The sequence below is a fragment of the Homo sapiens genome, chromosome 12 (assembly GCF_000001405.40).
Source record: "Homo sapiens chromosome 12, GRCh38.p14 Primary Assembly".
Lineage (NCBI taxonomy): Eukaryota > Metazoa > Chordata > Mammalia > Primates > Hominidae > Homo > Homo sapiens.
In genome coordinates this window covers 118,223,502-118,248,881 of record NC_000012.12, presented here as the reverse complement: position 1 = coordinate 118,248,881, position 25,380 = coordinate 118,223,502, and the positions used below count along the sequence as shown (strand labels likewise).

The 25,380-nt window shown below is 37.9% G+C and overlaps 1 protein-coding gene and 1 pseudogene across 8 annotated transcripts in view, besides 3 other annotated features; one reads left to right on the top strand and one right to left on the bottom strand.

The window, feature by feature from the left end:
• Positions 1–25,380, top strand: part of TAOK3 (TAO kinase 3) — a 223,107-nt gene that overhangs the window by 124,026 nt on the left and 73,701 nt on the right. For 4 of the 8 annotated variants that reach the window (NM_001346493.2, NM_001346492.2, NM_001346490.2 and 1 more), the window contains 7 exons: positions 3,917–3,988; positions 5,366–5,467; positions 9,610–9,655; positions 10,713–10,809; positions 12,189–13,087; positions 13,211–13,324; positions 15,117–15,208. In NM_001346493.2, coding sequence (NP_001333422.1) covers positions 13,284–13,324; positions 15,117–15,208 — 133 coding nt within the window. In that variant the 5' untranslated portion in view covers positions 3,917–3,988; positions 5,366–5,467; positions 9,610–9,655; ... (1 more) ...; positions 12,189–13,087; positions 13,211–13,283. The remainder of the gene's footprint in view (positions 1–3,916; positions 3,989–5,365; positions 5,468–9,609; positions 9,656–10,712; positions 10,810–12,188; positions 13,088–13,210; positions 13,325–15,116; positions 15,209–25,380) is intronic. The other 4 variants (NM_016281.4, NM_001346487.2, NM_001346488.2 and 1 more) reach the window with 1 other exon arrangement.
• On the bottom strand, positions 1,880–2,821 carry RPS2P5 (ribosomal protein S2 pseudogene 5; annotated as a pseudogene).
• Positions 11,312–11,361: an enhancer, noted in NCBI's record as "active region_7109". NCBI's record gives its function as "activates an Ori minimal core promoter by ATAC-STARR-seq in GM12878 lymphoblastoid cells {active_cell/tissue: GM12878}" and the evidence as "EXISTENCE:reporter gene assay evidence [ECO:0000049][PMID:35858748]".
• Positions 11,502–11,571: an enhancer, noted in NCBI's record as "active region_7108". NCBI's record gives its function as "activates an Ori minimal core promoter by ATAC-STARR-seq in GM12878 lymphoblastoid cells {active_cell/tissue: GM12878}" and the evidence as "EXISTENCE:reporter gene assay evidence [ECO:0000049][PMID:35858748]".
• Positions 19,674–20,175: an enhancer, noted in NCBI's record as "NANOG hESC enhancer chr12:118666512-118667013 (GRCh37/hg19 assembly coordinates)". NCBI's record gives its function as "activates a minimal SCP1, AML or CMV promoter by ChIP-STARR-seq in primed H9 embryonic stem cells {active_cell/tissue: H9 hESC(primed)}" and the evidence as "EXISTENCE:reporter gene assay evidence [ECO:0000049][PMID:30033119]".

The following is a 25,380-nucleotide window of genomic DNA, read 5'->3' as shown; positions in this document are numbered from 1 at the left end:
TAATCAACATGGAAATGTTTTTCAAATTTCAAGTCTCTGCCTATACATTAGGATGTGTAAGTGAGTGGAAGCATTAAGTTCTAATCAGTGATTATCCTATAAATGTAAGAAATATATTTTTATTTTAGGGTGGTTATTTTTCATGTTTTTAGGTCCAAATATAGCATTAATTATAAATAACCTTAATAAGCAATTAAATAATAATACTATCTGATTTTATTTCTGTGGGCTTTTCTATTTTTTAGTAATGGTTAATTATTTTTTAAAACCTCACAAGAAGTTAAAATTTCTCATTGCCTGAATATTTCCTAAATCTTTCTCAGGCTCCTTAAGCTGCACTATATATATTGATGCCTCAAATATCTACTTTTCAGATATAGTCCCTTTAACCTTTATTGTAATACTGAATTTACATCAGCTTTTATTTATGATTGCCATATAAGCACAGTTTAGTGTTAAAGTTTAAAAGCCAGAACAGTGTTAGAGATTTTTGTTTTTAACAAAAGTCATTCTGTACTTTCTAAATCAATAAAATATCTAAAATATGCTTTTGTGGAGTTCTGCAGACTGGAAAATTATGTCTAGTGGATAACTCATTAATATATAATAGGTACTTTTACCTTAATGCTTTTTTAAAAAAAACTCCTGTAGTACGTTATTGTGGGTTTTTTTTTTTTTCATTTTGACATTCCATAAGAATCTGTGGTCAAATTATTTGTACATACTACATTATTGTTTATTGTTTGAATTAACCGTTTTTAAAAATCATAAAGAAACCATTGTATCTGAAGAGGTTCATTTTAAATTAGTTGTATTTAAGAAAATGATTATGAATTTTTCTCTAAAATTGTTAACCTGACTTTATCAGTGAATGAATTCCAATCTTTTACTTCAGAACCACTGCGATAGCTTTATTGGTCCACAATGATAATAATGTGACAGAAGCAAAATAGCTTACTTACATTAGGGGTATGGCACTGATGCAGAGGTAATCTTTTAATGTCTTGTATTTATTTTTATGAAAATTTTAAGAAAACTAATAGTTTTAAATATTTTAAATAAGTTGAGGCTGGGAGCAGTAGCTCACGCCTATAATTCCAGTACTTTGGGAGGCTGATGCGGGCGGATTACTTGAGGCCAGGAGTTCGAGACCAGCCTGGCCAATATGGTGAAACCCTGTCTCTACTACATATATAAAAATTAGCCAGGCGTGGTGGTGGCCGCCTGTAATCCCAGCTACTCAAGAGGCTGTGGTGGGAAGATCACTTGAGCCTGGGAGGCAGAGGTTGCAGTGAGCTGAGATTGTACCACTGCACTCCAGCCTGGATGACAGAGCAAGATCCTGTCTTAAAAAAAGAAAAAAGTATGTACGTATGTATGTGTGTGTGTGTGTATATATATATATGTATATCTTGAGTAAGTTGAGAGGAAAAGACTATTACTTGAATTATTAATGGTTTTCATATGTACTTTCAATGAACTGTTACATTTGGAGTATGGAGAAGACAAGTAGACATAATTATGAGACAAGGCAACCTCTATAGATAAAAAATACACATATATACATACATAAATGTAGGCATGTATATATGTAATACAGTCTTATTATAAAATATAAGTAATCCTGAAAACCAAAGTCCCCCTTAGGATTAATCTTACTTTCTGCTGTACTGTTCAATACAATAGCAAGTAGGCACGTTAACTATTAAAATTTAAAATTTATTTTCTCAGTCACACTAGCCACATTTCACATGTTACTCTTTTGGACAATCTAGAAATAGAACTGTCCCATCATCAAAGAAAGTTCTATCAGATAGCACTGCTCCAGGGATTATCACTGATATATATTCTGGTATAAATTCTTTTATAATTTTTTTTTCACGCTTAATTCACTTTATTTTTCTTGTATAAAAACCCTATGTTGTAGCCACAGCTGGATCCTGAGTCCGCTGCACGGAGACTCTGGTGTGGGTCTTAACGAGGTGGTCAGTGAATTCCTGATAGGGAGACTTGGTAAATACAGTCTCCTTCCAGAGGTCGGGGGTCAGGTAGCTGTAGGTCTTAGAAATGGCATCAAAGGTGGCCTTGGCGAAGTTGCCCAGGGTGGCAGTGCAGCCCCGGGCTGAGGTGTAGCAGTCATCGATACCAGCCATCATGAGCAGCTTCTTAGGCACAGGTGCGGAGACGATGCCAGTGCCCCTGGGTGCAGGGATGAGGCGCACCAGCACAGAGCCGCAGCGGCCTGTCACCTTGCAAGGGACAGTGTGGGGCTTGCCGATCTTGTTCCCCCAGTAGCCTCTGCGCACGGGGACAATGGAGAGCTTGGCCAGGATGATGGCCCCACGGATGGCGGTGGCCACCTCCTTGGAGCACTTAACACCCAGACCGACGTGGCCATTGTAGTCCCCGATAGCAACAAACGCCTTGAACCTGGTGCGCTGGCTGGCACGGGTCTGCTTCTGCACTGGCATAATCTTCAAAACCTCATCCTTGAGAGAGGCCCCCAGGAAGAAATCAATGATCTCTGATTCCTTAATGGGCAGGGAGAAGAGATAGATCTCCTCCAGGGACTTGATCTTCATGTCCTTGACCAAGCGGCCCAACTTGGTGACGGGCATCCACTCCTTATCCTCGGCCTTGCCTCCGCGAGCTCCGCGGCCTCGGCCCCGGCCCCGTCCACGGCCGCGACCCCGGCCCCGGATGCCACTGCCGAAACCTCCGCGGAAGCCACCGCGGTTCCCCATCCCAGGGCCACCAGGGCCTCCGTGCCCCCCCGCTGCACCGGCGTCATCCGCCATTTGTTGTTTTCTCGGAAAAGAAGCAATTCTTTTATAATTTTTTCTACACGTATACTCACATTATTACTATTTTGCAAAAATTGGATTCTACTTTATAGCTTGTTTTTGACCAAAACATTTTTAACATCTTTTCATATTGCATTGCACATAGATTACCTCATTCCTTAAGTGGTTATTTTATTATATGGTCATATCATATTTATTTATTTAACTGGTTCTCCATTGATGGACAGTTTACAAGGTGAAGCCAGAATGGGTCATTTGGGAATATGACATTTTTTGTTTGGTTTGATATATTAAACCCTAATCATTTTTTATATTACAATCTTTACATGTATCCAGAAAAGAATATAGATAAACTATACATTAAAATGGGAGTGGAGATGTCTATTTAGCCTATCAAAAAGTGAAGCATCTTTGAACTGTGATACTGCAGTATGGAGATATTATTTTAAATATAATATGAGGCCAGGCACGGTGGCTAACGTCTGTAATCCCAGCACTTTGGGAGGCTGAGGCGGGCAGATCACGTGAGGTCAGGAGTTTGAGACCAGCCTGGCCAAAATGGTGAAACCCCATCTCTACTAAAAATATAAAAATTAGCCAGGTGTGGTGGTGGGTGCCTATAATCCGCAGTTACTTGAGAGGCTGAAGCAGGAGAATAGCTTGAACCCGGGAGGCAGAGGCTACAGTGAGCCAAGATCGTGCCCCAGTGCACTCCAGCATGAGCAACACAGCTCGATTCTTTCTCCAAAAATAAAATAAAACACCTGTAATCTCAGCACTTTGGGAGGCCGAGGCGGGCGGATCATTTGAAGTCAGGAGTTTAAGACCAGCCTGGTCAACATGGTGGAACCCCATTTCTACTAAAAATACAAAAAACATTAGCGTGGCATGGTGGTGCGTGCCTGTAATCCCTGCTGCTTGGGAGGCTGAAACAGGAGAATCGCTTGAACCCAAGAGGTAGAGGTTGCAGTGAGCTGCACTCCAGCCTGAGCGACAGAATGAGACTGTCAATAAATAAATATATAAATAAATAGTCTCTAGTCAAATATTTAAGTTAAATTGGCTGAAACATCACTAATTCTTTTTCTTTTTCTTCTACCCTCTTAACACAGGCTACAAATGCTCACACCAGTGAGGTGGTGGCAATTAAGAAGATGTCCTATAGTGGGAAGCAGACCCATGAGGTGAGATAGAGACAGTTGTATACCTAAACTGAAATAAACAAGTTAGTATGAAATTAACAAAATTCTGGCCGGGCGCGGTGGTTCACGCCTGTAATCCCAGCACTTTGCGAGGCCGAGGTGGGCGGCTCACGAGGTCGGGAGATTGAGACCATCCTGGCTAACATGATGAAACCCCATCTCTACTAAAAATACAAAAAATTAGCCGGGCGTGGTGGCGGGCGCCTGTAGTCCCAGCTACTCAGGAGACTGAGGCAGGAGAATGGCGTGAACCCGGGAGGCGGAGCTTGCAGTGAGCCGAGATCACGCCGCTGCACTCCAGCCTGGGTGACAGAGCGAGGCTCTGTCTCAAAAAAAAAAAAAGAAAAAGAAAAAAGAAATTAACAAAATTCTTTAAACTTTTTTTTAGAACAATTTTTTTTTCCTTCTTGTGGAGCATATAATAAAAGTTCCTGAAGTTTTTCATACAAATGTGTGAACATTCATAATTATTTTTAAAAAGGCTAATGTTCTAGCTCAATTAACTATTTTGCAGGCTGGATGAGGTGGCTTAGGCCTGTAATCCCAGCACTTTGGGAAGCCAAGGCTGGAGGATCGCTTGAGCCCAGGAGCTCAAGACAAGCCTGGGCAATATGGTGAGACCCCACCTCTACAAAACATCAAACAAACTAGCTGGGTGTGGTGGTGTGTGCCTGTAGTCCAGCCACTCGGGAGGCTCAAGTGGGAAGATTGCTTGAGCCTGGGATGTGGAGGCTTCAGTGAGCTGTGACTGCAACACTGTACTCTAGCCTGGGTGCCTGAAAAGGAAAAAAACTATTTTGCAGACCAGAACATGGGTATGTGTAATGGCTTTTTTGTAATGTATTTGGTGATAGATTTGTGTTTACATGTATTCAAACTAAAGAAATGGCATGTTTAGGCCGGGCACAGTGTCTCACGCCTGTGATCCCAGCACTTTGGGAGGCCAAGGTGGGCGGATCACCTGAGGTCAGGAGTTCGAGACCAGCCTGGCCAACACGGAGAAACCTCGTCTCTACTAAAAATACAAAAAAATTAGTTTGGTCTGGTGGTGCACGCCTGTAGTCCCAGCTACTTGGGAGGCACGAGAATCACTTGAACCTTGAACCGGGCAGCAGAGGTTGCAGTGAGCCGAGATCGTGCCACTGCAGTCCAGCCTGGGCGATAGAGCAAGACTCTGTCTCAATTAAAAACAAAAAGAGAGAGAGAAAGAAATAGCATGTTTAAATAGCTTCTTCATTTATTAAACATTTACTTTATGTCCATTTACAATAATATAAATGATATATACGTATACTTGATAGGAAATACTATTTTCCTATCAAAAATTAAATTAAAATGTTCCTTTTCTGACTTCAATAGAAATGGCAAGATATTCTTAAGGAAGTTAAATTTTTACGACAATTGAAGCATCCTAATACTATTGAGTACAAAGGCTGTTACTTGAAAGAACACACTGCTTGGGTAAGTCGAAGGACCTCTATTATCTTTTACTATTACATTTTTTTCTTTTTCTTTTTTTTCTATTATCTATTTGATCTGTAAAATTACTAATTTCATTTCTGTTCCATTTAACTTTTGTTATCAGTATTTAACATTTGTTAATACTTTGGTGTGTCACTTGGTATATATTCTGTAAGATTAAATGATATCTAGCCTATTAGAAATTCCATTCTATAAACACTCAGAAAGAGATGGTGAAAAGTTGACATCATTTTATAATTATTTGTTTGTAAAAGTAAAAGGCACAGCCTTATATTCTCATCCTAGAATTTTTATCTTTGTCATTTCTCATCCTCCACTCCAGTTCCCCCCATATTTGGAATTGTTCTTGATGTTTTAATTGCTATGTGATTTTTACCAAACAGGGGCCACCATATGATTAAAATAAGAGACTTTTGTTCCACTCTGTCATCTTATTGTGATATATATATATAAATATATATACACATGCACACACACACAGACACACACACACTCATATATATATATATATTTTGTTTGTTTGTTTGTTTGTTTGGAGACAGATTCACTCTTGTTGCCCAGGCTGGAGTGCAGTGGTGCGATCTCAGCTGACTACAACCTCTGCCTCCTGGGTTCAAGTGATTCTTGAACCTCAGCCTCCTGAGTAGCTGGGACTACAGGCACATGCCACCACACCCAGCTAATTTTTTGTATTTTTAGTAGAGATAGGGTTCACCATGTTGGCCACGCTGGTCTCCAACTCCTGACCTCAGGTGATCCACCTGCCTCAGCCTCCCAAAGTGCTGGGATTACAGGCATGAGCCATTGTGCTCGGCCCTTAGTATATTTTTATATGATTGTATTTCTGGTTTTAGGTTGGCACATTAGGCACATTTAGGATGTGAAAATGTTATGCTTTCTACTTTTTCAAATTGCACATTCCTACTTAAACTCCAATTTAACTAGCATTTATTGTTTACCATGTACCAACTCCTTTCCTGTATGTGATCTCTAATTAGGGAATGGAATTTTGTTCTTAAATAGACTATCAAACAGTATACTAAACATACATATTTCTGTTCAAGGAACTTTTATGTAGAGCTATTGCTTCCATTCTGAAAATAAGAAATTAATCAAAGACATATCTCATTGTCTAGAAATCAGTTCTCTGGCAATCTCAGCTGTCTTGAAGGAGTCAAGAAAGGGATTTCAAGCAGGCAGAATAAATGTTACAAAATCCAAGTGCTAAAATCTCATGTATTTCAAGTCTTCAGAAAATCCTTCACACTGTTACTTGAAGCTCGTTTTTCTCTTTTTTTTTTTTTTTGAGACAGAGTTTTGCTCTTGTTGCCCAGGCTGGAGTGCAATGGCGCGATCTCGGCTGACTGCAACCTCCACCTCCCGGGTTCAAGTGATTCTCCTGTCTCAGCCACCGGAGTACCACACCCGGCTAATTTTGTGTATTTAGTAGAGACGGGGTTTCTCCATGTTGGTCAGGCTGGTCTCGAACTCCCGACCTCAGGTGATCCGCCCACCTCGGCCTCCCAAAGTGCTGGAATTACAGGCATGAGCCACTGCACCCGGCCACCTGTTTATTCTTAGATTATATAGACTGCTAATAAGCATGGCTACCTGGTTTCTGTCTACAACTGGTTTGATAGACCAATCAGAAAGAGCTCTAAGGAACTGAGCTGTTAGATACATGCATACAAACAGGCACAAGAATAATTTAACCATACGGAAAAAGTCAGGGGAGCTAGAAGGCAGAGCTAATCATTTAAAGGCAGAGCAGCCAGAGCTGTTTAGTGTCAGGAGCAAACAACCATCTCAGGTGCCTTTGTGTTATAGAATAATAGGGGAAAAAATATTTGTGACAAAAATGCTGAGTTTTTAAACATGTAATTTAAAACATTTAATGCAGCTAGAAACATATTCATTCTATTCAGTTTTAAAGTTCTATATTCACATTTCATATGCTTGGTTTAAGGAGGTTATGTATGCATATTCAGTTACTTTTAAAAATTAGAAAATTATGTAATAAAATTTAGAAATGCTTTCATCAAAATTGATTAAAGAAAAAGTAGGGCACATAAAGGCTAGTGTTCATTATAACATTTACTCATGTAGAATCTTCCATTTTATAATAAGAAATAAGATTAATGTTTCTGAATCTGTTTGTTTTTAATGTCAAGCAGAAAACTATAGTATGGTTTCTAAATTTTAAACTTCTAAACCTCTCATTGTTCTAAATTATTCCAGAAATGCAAGGTACATACTATATAAATATATAACTGTAAAACTATAAAATATAAGACATAATCATATGTAATATATAAATAGTATTATAAGTATGTTATATCTAATTTAATTGCATTCTATATAATATAGACACAGTATACTTATATTTATAATATGTTCATATATATTGATATTTATAATATATAACTATAAAAGTATAATAGTTTCTAAATTTTAAACTTCTAGACATCACATATTCTAAATTATCTCAGTAATGCAAGGTACATAATATAAATATATTTTCACATTAATTTTTTTAATGAAAGGAACTAATATGTTGATATTGGTTATGTCTAGTTTATTATAGGAAATTTATATTTCATAATGAGCATCTACTATTCTTTTAAATAACAATAATTTGTAGGAGTGTGAATGCTTGCATGTGTGTGTGGAGATTGGTTGCTGAACCCTGATAGTTTTGACCTTGACTACAAATCAGTAGTCTTGGGCACCTAAAAATCTAGGATAAGAAGGGCCAGGTGCAGTGGCTTATGCCTGTAATCCCAGGACTTTGGGAGGCCTAGGTGGGTGGATCACGAGGTCAGGAGATCAAGACCAGGCTGGCCAACATGGTGAAACCCCGTCCCTACTAAAAATACAAAGAAAAAAAAGAAATCGAGGATAAGAGTACAGAAAGAGGCCGGGCACGGTGGCTCACACCTGTAATCCCAACACTTTGGGAGGCTGAGGCGGGCAGATCACCTGAGGTCAGGAGTTTGAGACCAGCCTGACCAACATGGAGAAACCCCGTCTCTACTAAAAATACAAAATTAGCCGCGTGTGGTGGCGCATGCCTGTAATCCCAGCTACTCGGGAGGCTGAGGCAGGAGAAGTGCTTGAACCCAGGAGGTAGAGGTTGCAGTGAGCCAAGATCGTGCCATTGCACTCCAGCCTGGGCAACAAGAGTGAACTCCGTCTCAAAAAAAAAAAAAAAAAAAGAGTAAAGAAAGAGGTTTCTCACTTTTGCTTTTAGAAAGCCTCCGCAGATTGCAAACCCAATAACTATCGATAGCCTCCACCTCTCGAGTTCCAGCGATTCTCCGTCCTTAGCCTCCCAAGTAGCTGGGACCACAGGTGCAAGCCACCATGCCAAGCTAATTTTTTGTATTTTTAGTAGAGATGGGGTTTCACCATGTTGACTAGGCTGGTCTTGAACTCCTGGCCTCAGGTGATCCACCTGCCTCAGCCTCCCAAAGTGCTGGGATTACAGGCGTGAGCCGCTGCACCTAGCCTATCAATAGTATTATAATAATATTATTCTGGAAATATTTTAAGATCTAAATGTAAATAACACATATATCTCAGGGATTCAAGGTAATGTAATGATACATAGCAGGCTACATCTTCAGATTCAGTTCAAAACAATATCTGTTTCTTGTTTAAAACTTTTTAAAGTGTGAAAAAAAGGAATTTACTACTTACTGGTTTATTTTATTTAACTGGTATAACCCCAAAATAGATTTTACTGGCTCGTGTATTTGTTTGCCACTTTCTGAGTTACAAATTTATAGTACAACATAGTCACCTGAATCCTTTTTGAAATAAAGTAGTGAAGGAGTTAATAAATAAATTGGCAATCTTGGCTTCACCATTTATAGTGAATATTTCTATATCTAGTCCCCCAATAATCTTTAGGCCAATTTCAAACAAGAAATAATAAAAACTGAGATGATGAAAATTATAAAAATCAATTAGTGCCAGATGACAAAAATTCAGTCCAAGTTCGGGTAGATCAGAATATTTATTCACCTAGTATTCTTAGTTCCTTGATTGGTTGTTTAGTTGGTTTCAGCAGTTTTTAAATTAACTTTCATTATTCTGAATATTATTTTAATCTCTTATAGTTGGTGATGGAATATTGCTTAGGCTCAGCCTCTGATTTATTAGAAGGTAAGAAAGAAGGAATTAAACTCTCCTTTCTGTTTTACTTTGATCAGAATGTTATCTACCGCCATACTAAAGTGTAGTTTGGGCAGTCTAATTGAATGATGGCTTGAGCTTTAGGGTGGTGTGGATAAGCCATGCACACTTCCTCTCTTCAATGCCACTGAAAGTGTCTGAGTGATGTTAGCAGTCTTCCTGCTGTTTTAGTTCATGGCCCATCCAGGGCAGGTACTACCAAAATGTTTGGCTAATGTGATATGGTACATGTAGCCAAAAACATCATATTCATGGGTATATGTGAAAGAGAGGTAGATAGTCTCACGTTATATTGATGTTAAACCCTTTCAGAAATCTTGACTGACCCCATTCCTCTCTGCAGATGCTGCTATAACCAGAGGCTGTGTTAAAAATTTACTTTAAAAAAAATATCTTGAGCCAGGCACAGAGGCTAACACCTATAATACCAGCTACTTAGGAGTCTGAGACAGGAGGATCACTTGAGCCCAGGAATTCAAGGCTGCAGTGAGCTTTGATTGAAACACTGCACTCCAGCCTGGGTAACAGAGTGAGACCCCTGTCTCAAAAAAAAAAAAAAAATTAAATCACTGTTGATCTCTGAATAGAAATTGCTTATTAGCTTCTTTCACAAATAATGAAAACCTGTAGTTTGAAGGGGTAATTAAAGATGGCTTTGTGGCAGAGGAGGAAAATGTAACCTAGAACACTCCAGACATTGAAATGTTGGAAGGGACTGGTTAATTTGGGCCTGGTTAATTGGAATCAGTGTGGCTTGGCTTGCAACTGATAAGTAAATTAACAATGCATCATTTAAGGAATATCAGGCTTTCTTTGTTTTATTTTTGTTTTGAAGGGTCATTTGTGTTTATATACTTGGGTTTCCTGTTGTCTGATCACTTATTATCTTCTATAGAAGATCTAGGTGAATGTGTTCCCAAATTGTCATGTGAGAAAGTATGTAACCCAGTCTGGTATAGCTGTATAAAATAATAAAATGAGGAATGAAACTGATCATCTACTGACTTTTTTTTTTTTCCTTCCTCAGTTCATAAAAAACCACTTCAGGAAGTGGAGATCGCTGCCATTACTCATGGAGCCTTGCATGGACTAGCCTACCTACATTCTCATGCATTGATTCATAGGTAAGATTAGAGACCAGTTATGTTTCTTTTCAGTTGCAGGACTGTCTATTCCAGGAACCTTGAAAATTAGTGCATGCTCCAATTTTTAGGTTGCCTAAGCATTCATGGGAAGCAAATAGATTGCTGCTTCTGGATATAAAGGATAAAGTTGCCAGAATTTAGCTTCTATCTCTTATTCTCTCCTACGTATCCACAATTATATCATCTTTGTTCAGTAGGTAACTGTTCTCCAGGCTAAATGTTGCAGGGAAATTTGAAAAAGGGCCCACCAATCTTTAGATACTGTGTCATGAAGAAAAGAAAAGAAAATTAACCTTCCTTGCATATATTTATCTGTTAGCAGAGTTATTGTCCCTTTCCTATTACAAATAACAAGCTAGTCTTATATAAATATATGCTATTTTATAACTTTAAAATATTTCTCATTTCTATAGTTCATATAGATACTTAGGAAGATATTATCTTTACTGTATTTTGGCATATGAAGAGACCAGGGCTCAGAAAGACTTAACTTGCCCAGAGTTTCACAGAATTTAAGTAATATGTTAAGGATTGAAACTCAAGTTTCTTGACTCCTATTCTAGGGCTTTTCTCTGCCTTGTATTTTCTCTACCACAACCACACTCTCCTCCCTGCAACCTCCCTCCCTCCATTAACTTCTAGAGAAACATGTTACCAATCTTTTCTTCTCTCAGTAATGAACTTTTAGTACAGTTACATTAATGAATGAGGGGAGGAGGAGTGAAATATTAGGTATGAAGAATCTGAGATGGCTCACAAATGAAAGAAAACAACTGGCATTTACTAGGAAGAAGTGAAACTATTGGGTTATGGTTCCTCTTTTGCTTCTGTTTTAATCACCCCAGTGTAGCCATGACCACTTACTGGTACCACAAAAGCAGAACTTCCTAAAGATAGGCAGACCGAAATCCTGCTGGGAATTAAGGACAAAGAGTGAACCTAATCATGTTAATAAATACTGATTAAATAAAATTATCATAATGTCTATGGATCTGACAACTTTTTGTAAATATATGTCTTTGGTACCAAGGTGTTAATACTACTGCCAACTTGCTTGTGATTATTTTGCCTGCTCTCATTTAAAGCTACAGTTCAGTTTTTTGTGCCATTATTACCTTAATCTGCACATTAACTTAATGTTTTAGTCTGTATTATGCTTTATCTTCTTTAGTATGTAAAATAATTTGTTGAAGAGTCAAAATACTTATAAATAATGTTTTTTTAATTTAAAAGTAAATACTGTGTCTCAGATTTTTATTGTTTTGATTTTAAAGGCAATTCAATCTCCTAACTAAAGATAAGTAGAGAAAATATATTTTTCTGTTGTGAAGAAAAATAAATAATGCATTTTTTTTTAGTTCTGTCTGCCAATGCCTAATGTCACCATGAGGAAGGAAACTGAATTTTCAAGGGAAGTTTTTATAAAAGTTATTTTGAAGCATTTGAACCTTATCATTTTCAGCTTGACATAAATTTCCTCATCTTCTCTGTTTTATCTTTTCACTGACCATCAACTTCCAATTCATGGTTTCTAGTGCTCATTACACCTCATGCCTTTTTTAAAAAGAATAAGGAGTACATCCACACCTTCTCATTCTAAATTACCATAATGAAAAATGAATTTTTTGAATTATATTTTTAAAACTTTTTGCTATATAATACCTCTATTAGCTTTAGTAGTAACCACGTGCAATTCTTTGTAGTAATACAATAGAAATGTAATTTCCTAACCCCTAATCCTTGTTTGTTTTGATCTTTCAGGGTCTTCTTTTTACTGTACAGAGTTATTTTTAAAATATCACCTTCTATATAACATGTACCTCAAATGCCTTAGAGTTGCAGTTACAATTAAAGACAGAGAGAAAGGGTCACAGGCAAGAAAGAAAAGGTATGTGTGTAGTTGAGGTTTATTGGTAGGTGGTCAATACGGAATCATTGCAGGTTTGTTTAGGCTCCAAAAATGTCACATAATTTGGAAAAGCAGAAAAAGCAGTTAAAATTGGCACCAATTTTCTCAGCACAGGGAATACTATTGATAACTGGATTTAGCCTTTAAGAATATGCCTTTGTAAGTGTAGCAGCTGAATAGGTTTTCTTGTTCGCCATGTCTGCCTTTTTTCTCATTTGTATTCCCTCCCTCTGAAGAAAGCTCTACCTTTAAGTAACTAGTATGACCTACCTGCAAGTACACCCAGGAATCTGGGCCCCCTTACAACATGCAGTAATTACTAAATCTCCTTCTGGCTATCTGAGCAAGGTTTGTTTTGTTTGTTTGTTTGTTCGTTTAAATAAACTTTTTGTCTTATTAATTGCATGCTCTGACCTATTCCATAATCAAAATTGAAAAGTAATTTTCTAACCCTTTTTTTTTTTCCTATAGGGATATTAAAGCAGGAAATATTCTTCTAACAGAGCCAGGTCAGGTAAAACTAGCTGATTTTGGATCTGCTTCAATGGCTTCTCCTGCCAACTCCTTCGTGGGCACACCTTACTGGTATGTAGAATTAGGCTATATGACATAGTTTTAAAATCTGCATACATGAACTCAACTATGGTGCTGGTTTGGCTTGGTTTTGTGACAGTGTCTTACCAATATGCCTCAAAACGAGGTTTCATTTGAGAAGGATAGAAAGCCCACTGGCATAAAAAGAAACACTCTGGCTTTGTATAAAATTTACAATGACTTTAAATTGTGTAGTTAAGGTTGGTGTCACTGTGTGTAAACTGAGCAGGATTATCAATTCACTGACCAAGTTCAGGTTTTCGATTTCATTTGCAGTTTCTTTTGAACTTTTCTCTTGAGGCAAAGCCTCCAGGTAAGGACAGGGCAGCTTCTTTCACCTTCCCTGACTAGCCAACAAGCAGAGATGGTACCTTTCAGTGAAAGAAATCCAAGTTCTTGTCTTTGTTGAGTTCTGATAGGTTACCTAGCTTGTCAGTCTGGCTCAGAGTTTTTCACCCTATTCTTTTCCAGATTATTTTCCTTCCTTTCCTAGACACGTTGGAATTTCATTATGCCTTACAGAATGACTTAGATCTCTGCAAAATTACTTGTCTACTAAAAAAAATCAGCTAGTCTTTGAATTTTTTTCTATCACCAAATAACATTTACTAAGCAACTGCTTACACATCATAATAGAGTACAGTTCTGTTCAAAGCATATTAAACAGATAGGGCCCCTGCCCTCCTAATGAAGATGCATTATGGACAAACAAGTAAAGTAACATCCATTACTACAACCTAGGGTTTTTGTAGGTTTTAGTATCTTTGGAACAGCTGATTATATTGCTTTATATGGCTCCATAAAGTATTTTTCATGTTGTTTAATTATTTTAAAAGAATATGGCCAGGTGTGGTGGCCTATGCCTGTAATCCCAGCTACTCGGGAGGCTGAGGCATGAGAATCGCTTGAACCCAGGAGGTAGAGGCTGCAGTAAGCCAAGATGGCGCCACTGCACCCCAACCTGGGCTACAAAGTAAGACTCTCAACAACAACAACAAAAAAAGACTCCAGGCGCGGTGGCTCACGCCAGTAATCCCAGCACTTTGGAAGTCCGAGGCGGGTGGATCACGAGGTCAGGAGATCGAGACCATCCTGGCTAACATGGTGAAACCGCGTCTCTACTAAAAATACAAAAAATTAGTCAGGCATGGTGGCAGGCGCCTGTAGTCCCAGCTACTTGTAGTCCCAGCTACTCGGGAGTCTGAGACAGGAGAATGGCATGAACCTGGGAGGCGGAGCTTGCAGTGAGCTGAGATTGCACCACTGCAGTCCAGCCTGGGCGACAGAGCCAGACTCCGTCTCAAAAAAAAAAAAAAAAAAAAAAAAAAAAAAAAAATTTCCTGCTTTATTTAATTACTTTAAACAATATGAAAAATACTTTATGGAACTATATAAAGCAATATAATCAGATGTTCCAAAGTAATTATTTAAGTACTTTATGTATATTCATCCTTTACAAATCTCTGTAAAGTTGCTATGAGAATTATCTCCATTTTACAGATGAAGAAACTGATGTACAGATAGGTTAAGTAACTTCCCTAAGATCAAACTGATAGTAAGGGGTGGAGCCAGTCTTTATTGAAAATAATATACTGTGTCATGTAAATCACCAAGTAGATTATATTTTGAATAGTGTTTTTCAAAATTATTTGTGTAAGGAAATAATATCTATATCAGATAAAATTTCAGAATACCCTTAAGAACAGCTATTTCATTGAATCACTTTCCTGGAGAAATTTTGTTTTTAATCTCCAACTTGAGTTTTGTACCTTATGTTTGGTAGGATGGCTCCAGAGGTGATCTTAGCTATGGATGAAGGACAGTATGATGGGAAAGTTGATATTTGGTCACTTGGCATCACTTGTATTGAATTGGGTGAGTAAAGAGTTATTTGTTTTCATTGTATTTTTTAAAATTCTATTTTGCAGATGAATTTTCATTGTATTTTTAAGAATCATAATGATTAGGAGTTATTCATCTGGCTATTACTTAATGAGTTACTGGTATATGTGTGCTAGGCAATGCGAATTTATTAGATTTTTTTATACTCATAACACAGATTGCTTTCTCTCTGCTACATTTTCATGTTCTTATTTTTATTTATTTATTTATGTATTTATTTATTTATTTTAATTTTTTAATTATTATTACACTTTAAGTTTTAGGGTACATGTGCACAATGTGCAGGTTTGTTACATATGTACACATGTGCCATGTTGGTGTGCTGCATCCATTAACTCGTCATTTAACATTAGGTATATCTCCTAATGCTATCCCTCCCCCCTCCCCCCACCCCACAACAGGCCCCGGATTGTGATGTTCCCCTTCCTGTGTCCATGTGTTCTCATTGTTCAATTCCCACCTATGAGTGAGAACATGCGGTGTTTGGTTTTTTGTCCTTGCGATAGTTTGCTGAGAATGATGGTTTCCAGTTTCATCCATGTCCCTGCAAAGGACATGAACTCATCATTTTTTATGGCTGCATAGTATTCCATGGTGTATATGTGCCACATTTTCTTAATCCAGTCTATCTTTGTTGGACATTTGGGTTGGTTCCAAGTCTTTGCTATTGTGAATAGTGCCACAATAAACATGCGTGTGCATGTGTCTTTATAGCAGCATGATTTATTTATTTATTTTTTTTGAGACAGAGTCTTACTCTGTTACCCAGGCTGGAGTGCAGTGGCACAATCTCGGCTCATTGCAACCTCCACCTCCTAAGTTCAAGCAATTCTCCTCCTTTAGCCTCCTGAGTGCCTGGGATTATAGGCACCTGCCACCAAGGCTGGCTAATTTTTGTATTTTAGTAGAGACAGGGTTTTGCTGTGTTGGCCAGGCTGGTCTTAAACTCCTAACCTCAAGTGATCTGCCTGCCTCGAGGTCCCAAAGCACTGGGATTATAGATGTGAGACACCACACCCAGTCTCATGTTATTAATTTAATTGAAGGAGTTGAAGCAGATATGGCAGTTAACAAATGAAATACAAAATAGCACATAGTAATATATGAAAAATATCCATTCTCCATACTATGAATGATAATATATGTCCTACCTTTATGGGAGTTCCCATTACCTTAATTTATACTCCAACTTGTATTAGGGAAATCTGAAAAAGTAATAGAAAGCTTATCAGGGATCTGACTCTAAAACTGTATTTGACCCATGTAGAGCACAACTGTGAAGAAAACTTTGTGTTATAAGATAAACTTCAGCCATTAAGTTATTCCCCAAATATTGTTACAGTTATCTAACATTGTCTAAAGTGCCACAGAATCTCTCCTTTGGTTGTATATTTTGAACTTTAATATATCTTAAGCTTACTTCTATCCAGTGGTATACTGGTAAATTTAACAAATCAATCTCTTGTGGAGAGGGGAAAAGGCCTTGATTTGTAGCTTTGCCAATTTCCATGATGTAAATACTCTTACTATAGCCAATGCTATTCACTAAATGTGAAAATGGGGAAAGATGTGCACAATGGGCCTTCCAAAGCCAGTATGTGCTAGCTACAGCATAATACTGCCTTTATCTACATATTTTCATAAATTTTAAATCAAAAATGTTAAACTTTTTAAAAAATCAGTTTTTAAAAAATTCTTTTTTTTCTTTTTTTCTTTTTTTTTTTGAGACACAATCTTGCTCTGTTACCCAGGCTGCATTGCAGCAGTGCAATCTTGGCTCACTACAGCCTCTCTCTTCTGGGTTCAAGCGATTCTCCTGCCTCAGCCACCCAAGTAGCTGGGATTACAGGCATGCACCACCACGCCTGGCTAATTTTGTGTTTTTAATAGAGATGGGGTTTTGCCATGTTGGTCAGGCTGGTCTTGAACTCCTGACTTCAGATGATCCACCCGCCTCGGCCTCCCAAAGTGCTGGGATTACAGGCATGAGCCACTGTGCCTGGCCTAAAAAAATTCTTTGTCTAATTTTTTAAGATATTAATTTCATGTAATTCTATTAAGGTTTCCAAATTGATCCTATAAGTATTTCTGAGTTCTAGTTTGATTCACAGACTATGGTCTTCTCTTTTCCTAAAATGTTAGGCCAACTTGGGATACTTTATATTACATTGCCAATGTTTCATTGACCCCTTCCGACAAAACAACATATGATAAAGATGCACAATTTATCTGGATTTTTTTTTTACATTAAAGAAGTATTAATTAAAAAAAAAAAAGAATTCCTGGAGGAAAATTTGAATATTATTTTTTTCAATTAGGTAGCAGAATCACAAGGTTTGTAAATCAGAAAACATAAAAAGACATACAGTGAAAGATCTTCTTCCACCCCTGCCCTATCTACACAGTTCCTACACCACCCCTGCCAACACACGCAGGGAACCACTTTATTAATTGGTGTGTCCTTCCAGATCTTCTTGGTAAATATACAAACAAACATGAATATACACTTCCTATATTCGTTTTCACACCCAAGGTAACGTATATATGTGGTTCTGTACTTTGGTTTTTCACTTAATAATATCTTGGAGATCTGTTTTCTATGACTAACTTAGACATGTTTTTCATCATTTTAATGGCATCATGTTATTCCATTACATGATATACCATAGTTTATTTAACTGGTCTTGTATTGATGGATATTGAGTTGATGAATTTCTTTTTTAGGTTATAATATGGTACTACTGTTTATTTCACTCCAAAGGAAATTGATCAAAGTTATTCATACTGATTTTGGGGGCCACTCAGCAGAAATATTTGCATGTTTTAAAAAGGGCTTATAACGAACTTCCCACAATACTACGTAAAAGTTCACAAGGTAGGCTGGGCGTGGTGGCTCACGCCTATAATCTCGGCACTTTGGGAGGCCGAGGCGGGCGGATCACGAGGTCAGGAGATCGAGACCATCCTGGCTAACAAGGTGAAACCCCGTCTCTACTAAAAATACAAAAAAATTAGCCAGGTGTGGTGGTGGGTGCCTGTAGTCCCAGCTACTCGGGAGGCTGAGGCAGGAGAACGGTGTGAACCTGGGAGGCAGAGCTTGCAGTGAGAGATCGCACCACTGCACTCCAGCCTGGGTGACAGAGCAAGACTCTGTCTCAAAAAAAAAAAAAAAAAAAAAAAAAAAAACACTTCACAGGGTAATCCCAGAAGTCATAGGACCAAAATTAGCTAAAACAACTTTGGAGAAATAGAATTTGAACAGAAGAATCACTGCCCCAGAATCCATACCATATTAATTAAATCCATATGGTATTGTTGCAGGGAAAGACTAGTATCCAGTAGAACAGACTAGGAAACTCTAGTATGAGTCAGATTTTGGTATAAGACACAAAAGCCGTTACAGATCAATGGGGAAATGATGGCTCATTTGGTAAATAATACTGAGAAATGTGTTAATTATATGATAAAACTAAAACTGGATTCCTAGCTATGTCATACACAAAAATAAATTTTAGATTGGTTAAATGCCCAAAAGTAAAACTTTAAACATTTAGAAGAAGCCCCCCAATGCCTCAGTTTCCTCATCTGTAAAATAGAAATAATGATAGTACCCACTTTGTGGGGTTGTTATGAAGATTAATTAATATCTATTATATGCTTAGAACATGGCCTGGCATGTAATAAGCACTATGTAAGTGTTATTATTATTTTTTTTTAAGACAGAGTCTCGCTCTGTCTCCCAGGCTAGAGTGCAGTGGTGTGCTCTTAGCTCACTGCAACCTCCACCTCCCAGGTTCAAGTGATTCTCCTGCCTCAGGCTCCCTAGTAGCTGGGACTACAGGTGCATGCCGCCACGCCTGGCTAATTTTTTGTATTTTTAGTAGAGACGGGGTTTCATCGTGTTAGCCAGGATGGTCTCAATCTCCTGACCTTGTGATCCACCCGCCTCAGCCTTCCAAAGTGCTGGGATTACAGGCGTGAGCCACCAGGCCCGGCCTAGTGTTATTATTATTACTCTAAAATACTTTTACTAGTATAATGAAGACCTTTTCTAATCAATGTTTTTTAAAACATAATGATAAATATCATAACTTTTACTACTTTAAAATATAAAACCATGTAAAGCACAAACATTAAAAGACAAGCTATGGACTAGGAGAAGGTAGTTGAAATACATTTAACCAACAAAGTATTGGTCCAAAATTTATAAATAACTCCTACAATTTCTTTCTGAAAAAGAAAAAGCTGGCCAGATGCGGTGGCTCATGCCTGTAATCCCAGCACTTTGGGCGGCCAAGGTGGGCAGATCACCTGAGGTCAAGAGTTTGAGACCAGCCTGGCCAACGTGGTGAAACCCCACCTCTACTAAAATTACAAAATTACCTGTGTGTGGTGATGCACGCCTATAATCCCAGCTACTAGGGAGGCTGAGGCAAGAGAATCATCTGAACCTGGGAGGCGGAGGTTGCAGTGAGCCGAGATTGCGCCACTGCACTCCAGCCTGGGCAACAAGATCGAAACTCTGTCCCCCCCAAAAAAAAAAGGAAAAAAAAGAAAAAGCCAAACAACCAGTAGAGAAATGGGTAAGGAATATGATTAAGTGAAGCTGAGGTAGGAGAATCACCTGAACCCAGGAAGTCAAGGCCGCAGTGAGCCATGATCACGCCACTGCACTGTAGTCTGGGTGATGGGAGTAAGACCCTATCTCAAATAAAAATAAAAAGGAATATGATTAAGCAATTCATTGAAGAGGAAACCTAAATGGAAAACAAACATCAGAAGACACTAAGCCTCATTAGTAATCAGAGAAATGCAATTTGAAACAATTTCACATTTATGAGACTGGCAAGAATTTCAAGTCCTCGAATAATAAATTTGGAGAAGCTGCCAAGGAAGGAAGAACTCCGTATGCATACACACTGGAAAATGTGTACAAGGGTGCAACTGTTTTTATAGTAGCCAGAAAAGGTAGAACTAGCCTAAATTCTTATCCAAAGGAGAATGTATAAATTATGGAATACTGTATCATAGTTAAGAATGAACTGGATCTACATGTATCATCATGGATAAATCTCAAAATCATAACATTGAATATTTGGTGAACAAATAAAATTGCAAAAGTACAAGGATGGTTTGATGCCAGTTATGAAAATTTTATAAGTTCTTTTATATATTGTTAAAACTATATATATACTGGCCAGGCGCAGTGGCTCACGCTTGTAATCCCAGCACTTTGGGAGGCCAAGGCAGATGGATCACCTGAGGTCAGGAGTTTGAGACCAGCCTGACCAACATGCCGAAACCCCATCTCTACTAAAAATACAAAAATTAGCTGGGCATGGTGGTGCATGCCTGTAATCCCAGCTACTTGGGAAGCTGAGACAGGAGAATTGCTTGAACCCAGAAGGCGGAGGTTGCAGTGAGCCAAGACCGTACCATTGCACTCCAGCTGGACGACAAGAGCAAAACTCCATCTCAAAAAAAAAAAAAAAAGAGTATATATACTAATAAAACATAAGAATACAGTTGTAAAGATATAATTCTAGAACAGTAAACACTGGAGAAAGGAAGGCAAATAGAGCTGTATCTACTTTCTTATTTTTTTAGAAGAAAAAGGACCTGAAACAAATATGACAAGATTATAATAAATCTAAGTGATAGGTGTCTGTTATAATATTCTACAAAATTTTACACATTTTAAATATTGAATAATTGAACTTTTCAAAAATTAGAAGTAAATATATATTCCTTTGGGGGAACAAAACTACTCTGTGCATAGCATAGAGTTAGCAGTATGGAGTAAGTTTTAGAATTAGACACCCTAGATGTGAATCTTGGCTTTACCAGCACTTAGCTGGCAGGACCACCATGTGTGGCTGTAACATAATGCCATCAGGCATTCACATAGTCTGGGATGCAGATGATCCCTCCTGGGACTGTGTAACATATTGATTCTGACTGTGTGATCATGGATCATTTTGTTAACTTCCCTAATCCTCAGTTTCTCATCTAAGTAAAAATAACAATGGATATATCATAGATATTTACAGGCTTCAATAAGATAACTTAGGTAAAGTATTTAGCATAGTGCCTGGCATATAGCAAGTGCTCAGTAACAGTTAATTGTATTCATATATAGGATTGTTTTTTGTTTTTTGTAATTTATGTTTTAGGCCATATAAAATTATGCTACTTTTAGAGGTCATAGTACCTTTAGGGTCATAACTGAGGAGTTGCTACAATGGTCTCAGTGTTATAAGTAAAATTTTGGTTTATTCTTATAAAATATTACTTATTTTATATTTTACTTATAACACAGATATTTTATATTTTATATATTTATATTTTATATATAAATTTATATTATAAAATTATAACATAATTTTATATTATATTAAAATATAAAAGTAATATTTTATAAAAATAAACCAAAATTTTCCTTATAACACTGAGACCATCATAGCAACACCTCAGTTACGATCTTTTAAAAGAATGTGCCACTTGTGTTGAATTTTACTGTTAGTGCCTACCCATTTTTTAACTAGTTTTTTCTTACCAAGTTTTTTCTTAACAAGTTTTTTTCTTACCAAAATCTTTCCGAAATTTGACATGGATTCTTCCCTTTCCAATCTTCTTCAATTGTACAAACTACATATACCCTTTTATGATGATTCAAGATCATCATCACATCAGATTTTGTACCGTGTACATGTAAATGACTAAAATGTCAACAGCAGTTGACATTGGACACAAGTACAGACCCCAAGAGATACCTTAGTGCTTCCTCTCTTAAGACAGCCCCTTATATGTGCTTTCTGATTTTACCTTCTTATAAAAATGAATTGAAATATGTATAACTACATGCTCTCTGTATCAGCCTTTGATTGCATTTTATAAAATGATTTACTGAACTAAAGGACAAAGTAGCCTTCTCCCAAATTGTCTAATCCTCTATGACAGCTATTTCTGCAAATTGATAAGTGATAGTGTCAAATTGTGCTAAAGAGCATAGACTCTGCAGTCAGATAAACTTCAGTTCTTATTCTGCCATTTTGTAGTTGTCTGACTTTGGTCAAATTATCTCAAGTCTGTAAATTTTTTTTTTTTTTTTTTTTAGACGGAGTCTCGCTCTGTCACCAGGCTGGAGTGCAGTGGCACGATCTCGGCTCACTGCAACGTCTAGTTCCCGGGTTCAAGCGATTCTCCTGCCTCAGCCTCCCGAATAGCTGGTACTACAGGCGCCTGCCACCACGCCCGGCTAATTTTTTTTTGAGACGGAGTCTCGCTCTGTCGCCCAGGCTGGAGTGCAGTGGCGCAATCTCAGCTCACTGCAAGCTCCGCCTCCCGGGTTCACACCATTCTGCTGCCTCAGCCTCCTGAGTAGCTGGGACTACAGGTGCCCGCCACCACGCCTGGCTAATTTTTTTGTATTTTCAGTAGAGACGGGGTTTCACCATGTTAGCCAGGATGGTCTCGATCTCCTGACCTTGTGATCTGCCCGCCTCGGCCTCCCAAAGTGCTGGGATTACAGGCGTGAGCCACCGCACCCGGCCTAATTTTTGTATTTTTAGTAGAGACGGAGTTTTACCTTGTTGGCCAGGCTAGTCTCAAACTCCTGATCTCAAATGATCCACCCACCTCGGCCTCCCAAAGTGTTGGGATTATAGGCGCAAGCCATCATGCCAGCCCATTTTAACATCTCTTTAACACTAGGAAGCAACATGGTAAAATGCATTGAAAGTTGAAATTGCTGAGAGAGTAAATGATGTTAAATGTTCCTACAACAAAAAAAAATAGTAACTATATGAGGCGATGGACAGATTGTGATTAATCAATGTATATGAACATCAAAACATCACATTGTACACCTTAAATATATACAATTTTGTCAAAAACAAGGAAATAACTTTTTTAAAGTAGGAGGTATTTTATAGGCAACAGCCTCTTATAGTTGGCAGCATTTTTTCTGTTATACATATTATAAAATCGTGGTGAATATTTAACGGTAGTACACCTTACAGTCAATGACATCTCAGACTCAAAGAAATGTGATTGTAGATGGTCAGTAAATATTCACAAAATAAAATTATTACCAAGAACATTTAATTTCTCAGCAATTACTTGAAAATTATTATATCAGTAATGTAATAAGTCATACAAGTATCTCTTTGACAGCTTTATCATACATTTTCATCTCCCTAGCATTAATTTTGCTAATGGACATGTAAAAGAAGGGTATTTTTTTTTTTTTTTACATGCAAGACAAAGGTTAAACTGTTTCAAATATTCCCTAAGCAATGATTTTGCTATTTTCTGTATGTTTGGGGCATAATGAAATTCTAACTGTTAATACCAATAGTATATTTTTAAGTTGTATCTTTTTTTTTTTTTTTTTTTTTTGAGACAGTCTCGCACTTGTCACCCAGGCTAGAGTGCAATGGCGCGATCTTGGCTCACTGCAACCTCCACCCCCTGGACTCAAGTGATTCTCCTGCCTCAGCCTCCCGAGTAGCTGGGATTACAGGCACCCACCACCACTCCCGGCTAATTTTTATATTTTTAGTAGAGACAGAATTTCACCATGTTACCCAGGCTGGTCTCAACCTTCTGATCTCAGGTGATCCACCCACCTCAGCCTCCCAAAGTGCTGGGATTACAGGCATGAGCCACCTTGCCCAGCCCAAGTTGTACTTTTAACATCGAAATTACATGGAAAGTTGTGGATAGTCCTGTTCCCTTTTGTTCTGATATCTCTCTCTTCCATAATAGCTTGTTATCCCCTTTCTTTATGGTGTCTGTCTCTTCTATAATAGTATATATTTTTTTAAAAACACCCTAATCTAGAAGTTGAATTGCTGGGATGGCATCAAAAAGCAGGATGATGATAGTGTTACTGACACTGTCCTTCTTTCCTAAAGATCAAACTTTACAGCTCCTAAGTGTTTAATCCTGTTTTATAAATTATCTTTGGGTAAATTGATCTCCTGTTGAAAGGACTAGTTAAAACTCTTGGAGGTTGAAATTGTCCAGTCACCAGATATTTTATTTTTCAGGATTACATTCAGGAGAAGTTAATCTTGGTTCTCTTCTGTTTAAACTACAGGCATTTAGTTCACCAACAAAGGTTATGGTAGAAACTGGCAAATAGTCTGTCGGCACTGTCAGGGAATGGATTGTGTCCAGAAATAAGTTCTCCAGGAAAGAACAAAACACAAACATAAATGTTATAGATTCTCTGCCTGGAATTTTCTTCTTATACATTAGCCCCTTATAGTTTATCTGTTAATAAATGAATACCATGATCGTTGTTGGGGAGAAGGGGTTATATTTAGTCTTCTAAAGTTTTTCTTTTCATTTTGAAATTCTAGTGCTATCTACCTTAAAATGTACAGAGTTATTGAAGAGATACCATGGCCTAGTAAAAAGAACACAGGCCTTGGAGTCTCATAGGATTGGGTTGAAATTTCAGCGTAAACACTATGTGATTTGGTTTTGTTACTTAGCTGAACCTCAGTTTCTTCAGTTGGGAAACTGGAAAAATAATACCTATCTTGACAAGCTATTTTGAGAATTATGAATAACATATGTAACATGCCTAAGGCAGTGAGTGCCTGGCATATAGTAGGAATTCAGTAAATGGTAGCGATTATTTTGTTATCATTAGTTATTATGGTTTTCAACCATATTTGTTCATAAGAAACCTTATGGGCTGGGCTTGGCCACTCATGCCTGTAATTCCAGCACTATGGGAGGCCAAAGTGGGCAGATCACTTGAGGTCAGGAGTTCTAGAGCAGCCTGGCCAACATGGCAAAACCCTGTCTCTATTAAAAATGCAAAAATTAGGTGTAGTGGCACACACCTGTAGTCCCAGCTACTTGGGAGGCTGATGCATGGGAATTGCTTGAACCCAGGAGGCAGAGGTTGCAGTGAGCCAAGATTGTACCACTGCACTCCAGCCTGGGAGACAAAGAGAGACTCTGTCTCAAAAAAAAAAAAAAAATGCCGGGTGCGGTGGCTCACACCTGTAATCCCAACACTTTGGGAGGCCGAGGTGGGTGAGTCACGAGGTCAGGAGATCGAGACCATCCTGGCTAACATGGTGAAACCCCGTCTCTACTAAAAATACAAAAAATTAGCCAGACGT